This window comes from Homo sapiens, chromosome 5 (assembly GCF_000001405.40).
Source record: "Homo sapiens chromosome 5, GRCh38.p14 Primary Assembly".
In the NCBI taxonomy this organism is placed as follows: Eukaryota; Metazoa; Chordata; class Mammalia; order Primates; family Hominidae; genus Homo; species Homo sapiens.
Genome location: NC_000005.10, coordinates 20,845,085 through 20,849,713, shown reverse-complemented (window position 1 = coordinate 20,849,713; position 4,629 = coordinate 20,845,085). Strand labels below are relative to the sequence as shown.

General features: G+C 35.6%; 1 long non-coding RNA gene across 1 annotated transcript in view; it reads right to left on the bottom strand.

The window, feature by feature from the left end:
* The window catches only part of LINC02241 (long intergenic non-protein coding RNA 2241), a 325,854-nt gene that overhangs the window by 87,980 nt on the left and 233,245 nt on the right, over positions 1-4,629 (bottom strand). The gene's annotated exons all lie outside the window — the stretch shown is intronic.

Here is a 4,629-nt window from a genome sequence, read left to right as displayed (position 1 = left end):
TTCTGTCATTTGAACTAGGCACTGTGCTGATTATAGGACTGGAAATTGACTAAATATTTTAATCCAATATAATAATATTCACAAATTCAATCAAAGCTATGTAAATATAATCTACAACTATTAACTTCCCAATTAATAGAATTATATATAGTACAATGTATAGTAGGGCATTTAATAATACAATCACCACTACTGAAAAGCTTTACTCATAACATTTTAGTGCCTGGAATATAAAAGGGATTGCATGTGTCTTGAATAAGTAAATAAAATATTAAAATATATTCTTCTTTGTTAAAATCATTTTGTGTTCAGGTATAAAATTATATATTAATAAAAGAGATTTTTACTATTTAAATGTAAGTATATATTATCCATTTGAAGTTTATTAATGATGAATGTAAGTATACAAAATACTGTATATTATTTGATACCAACATTTATTCACTAGTGTCTTTACTTTTCCATAAACAATACATAATGAATGCAGCTCTTTACAAGTAAATTTTGGTAGAAACAAAATCTTATAGAATAATTATGAGAGAAAAAATGTAAGAAAATCTAAGGCCATAGAAATTTAAATTAAAATTGAAAACATTGGATGCTTAAGTCAATACTTATAACTATTTCCTATTCAGACAGCTTGTTCAGATATACCATTTCTTGAATTTTTAATTCACAAAAATATTATTTTTATATGTATCATACTTGACAAAAAGGACCAAAAAACCCTATTCTTGAATTTAAGTTTAATATTCTGCAGTTATTACATAAACGTAAGGTTTAGCAAACAGTTCTAGCAAATAAATACAATTCCCCAAATTTTTCAGCACTTACACAGTCATAAAAATTCTCTGTTTGAAAATAAAATATGTTTATTTTCCCACAACCTGGTATATGAGAGGACCTCCCCTCTCTCTGCATCCTTGACAGCATTTTTTTTTCTTTTTTTCTTTTTTTTTTTACTTTTTGATAATAGCCATTCTAACTGGGGTAAGGTGATATCCCATCCCAGCTTTAATTTTCATTTGCCTGATACTTAGCAATGTTGACTGAGCATTTTAAAAATATACATCTGTTGACTATTTGTATGTCTTCTTTTGAGAAATGTCTATTCAGGTCTTTTGCCCATTTTTAATAAGATTATTTGTGTGTTTTGCTACTGAGTTAAATTCCTTATATATTCTGGATATTAAGAAGTTGTCAGATACATAGTTTAAATTATTTTTTAAGTTTTTATTTATTATTATTTTTATTTTTTGAGATGGAGTCTTGCTCTGTCAACCCAGGCTGGAGTGCAGTGGCACTAGCTTTGCTCACTCCAACCTCAACCTCCTGGGTTCAATAGATTCTCCTGTCTCAGCCTCCCAAGTTGCTTGGACTACAGGCACGTGCCACCACAGCAGGTTAATTTTGTGTATTTTTAGTAGGAACGGGGTTTCGCCATGTTGGCCAGCCTGGTCTTGACCTTCTGATATCAGGTGATCCACCTGCCTTGGACTCCCAAAGTTCTGGGATTACAGACACATAGCTTAAATTAATAGAGTCATTATGGAAAACAGTACAGAGGGTTCCTCAAAAAATTAAAAATAGAACTACCATTTGATTCAGCAATCCTAGTACTAGGTATATATCCAAAAGAAATGAAACCAGTATATCAGAGAGATATCTGCACTCCAATGATTATGCAGCATTATTCACATGGCCAAACCATGGAATCAAACTAAATGCCTTTCTACAGATGAATGGGTACAGAAAATATGGTGTGTGTGTGTGTGTGTGTGTGTGTGTGTGTGTGTGTGTGTGTGTGTGTATGTATGTATTTTAAAAAGTTGATCTCACAGAAATGAGAATAGAATAGTGGTTACCAGAAGCTGGGTCAGTACAAGGGAGGATGGATGAAGAGTGGTTGGACAAGGACTAAAAAGTTATGGTTAGACAAGAAGAATAAGTTCTGGTGTTTTAATACACAGTAGGATCACCATAACTAATAAAATGTTCATTTCTTTTTTTAATTTTTTTTTGAAATGGAGTCTTGCCCTGTCACCCAGGTGGGAGTGCAGTGGTGCAGTCTTGGCTCACTGCAACCTCCACCTCCCAGGTTCAAGTGATTCTCCTGCCTCAGCCTCCCGAGTAGCTGGGACTACCGCACCCACCATACCCAGCTAATTTTTGTATTTTCAGTAGAGACAGGGTTTCACCATATTGACCAGGCTAGTCTCAATCTCCTGACCTCAAGTGATCCACCTGCCTCAGCCTCCCAAAATGCTGGGATTACAGGCATGAGCCACCATGCCCAGCCTAAAATGTTCATTTCAAGATAGTCAGAAGAGAGGATTTTGAATGTTATCACCACAAAGAAATGACAAATGCTTAAGGCAATGAATATAATAATCACCCTGATTTAATCATTACACATTGTATATATGCATTGAAACATCACACTGTATCCCACAAATATGTACAGTAATCATGTGTCAACTATAAATTTTTAAAACTTTTAAATTAAAAAACTAAATGGTAGATATTTAATTGCCACTGATAAGTGCAGAGATTTAAAGAGACAATAAGGAAAGATGCATAGAATCATGAATTTTGGAAAATAATTTCCTGGGTTTAAATCCTAGATCAACTATTAATTAGCTTTTTAACACTAAGGCACTTACTAATTATTTCCATTTCTTATTATACTCATTTCAAAATTAGGGATAAATTAAATGCATAGTATTAGCCAAGATTGAATGATGGATATAAAACTGCAATGAATCGTGGAAAAGATAATTTATTGTGGGAATTAGACCTTGTAAAATTGTGAAATGAGAGGGAGACATGAATATAAGACAGGGAACAGGAGAGATTTAATTGAGTCACCACTCTATCAAAGTGAGAAGCCAAACACATATTAAGGAGTTGAAGAGGAAATACAAAGAGGAAGACACTAACAGAGGGAATGTGAACATGTTTCCTCTGTGGGTCTATATCACCTGTGGTGAACGAACCATGACACATAGTTAGAGAGAAAAGCCCACAGTTCAGAAGGAGACCTGGATGACTGGCACGGGGGCTCACGCCTGTAATCTCAGCATTTTGGGAAGCCGAGGCAGGCGCATCACCTAAGGTTGGAAGTTCGAGACCAGCCTGACCAACATGGAGAAACCCTGTCTCTACTAAAAATACAAAAATTTAGCTGGGCGTGGTGGTGCATGCCTATAATCCCAGCTACACGGGAGGCAGAGGCAAGAGAATCGCTTGAACCAGCGAGGTGGAGGTTGTGGTGAGCCGAGATCACCCCATTGCACTCCAGCCTGGGTAACAAGAGCGAAACTCCCTCTCAAAAAAAAAAAAAAGGAGACCTGGACGATGTATGGGGGAGCAGGAGGACAAGCTGGAAATTTCTGAGTGTCTCTGTGTCTGTCATCACCTCTAACCACAGCAACCTTCAAAGAGTGGTGGCCAATTCCACACTTCTCCATCCCACATCTTGTGAAAGGTTCTGTTCTTTGTTTGTTTGTTTTTTTTCCAACCCAGAAATATACAGGGAGGTAGAATCTGGAGAAGTTAATTCACAGTTTAGTCAAGTTAAAAATAGGATGATCTGCCACAACTTCGTTATTGGAAGTCTGTGAGAATTACATGGGTTAATGCATGTAAACAAGTCGTACAAACTCCCACTTGTAGAAACAGTAACCACAGCCCCCCTCCACAACTATCACATACAACTGGGATTTTGACACCAACGTAAGAGATGCTATCAGACATAAGAGCAGCAAAGTGATGTGACAATTGAGGTAAATAAAACAAGTGGAATCCGATGATCTTGCTTATTCTCCAAAGGCATTTTCCAGGACTCAAGGAAGGAAGATGAAAATCAAAGAGACTCAGCATCTTTGCTGATTTAAAGATACAAAGATCAGATTTTGAGGATGTTGAAATGGCTAGAATTTTCAGGGCATAATATAAGATAAAAGGGAGCTGTATAGAGAAAAAGCTTTTCAGATTTCCTTGAATCTTTGAATGCTGATCTGTGCATTCACAGAAGGAATTGCTAAGAGGTGCAGGAAAACAGTAAACTGAGGTTTTTGGACTTGACAGAGAACTAGGAGTTGTGTGTGTTCTCAGCAGCCAGATTAGAAAGACCTCATAACGTCCAGGCCATCTGAGAGAATCCTCAGAAGTGTATCACCATATTAATGGGATTACATTAGTGTTAGGCAAGAGATAGTCTAGAGTCATTTTCATAGGGGTAACAAACCTTAAATTGATTAAATGGTTTCTAAGCAAATTTATACCAAGAAAAAAGTTCAGCTTTCTTTAAAGATATAATTCAGAATCCAAGAACTTAATTGACAACTGGCATTCAATTAAAAAAAGTAAGAGATACAGAAATGACAGTTACTGGAATTAGAAGATAAGGGCATTTAAATGGCTATTATAAACATATTCAATATGCTTAACGTTATAGAAGAAAATATGTCCATAGTGAGAACAGAAATAGAAGATATAAAAGTGACCTAACTGCAACCACCAGAGATGAAAATTACAACATGAGAAATAAAAAAAAATACTGTCTGAGATTATCAACAAATGAGACACAGCAGAATGAAATGCCATTGAACATGAAAGCATAGCAAT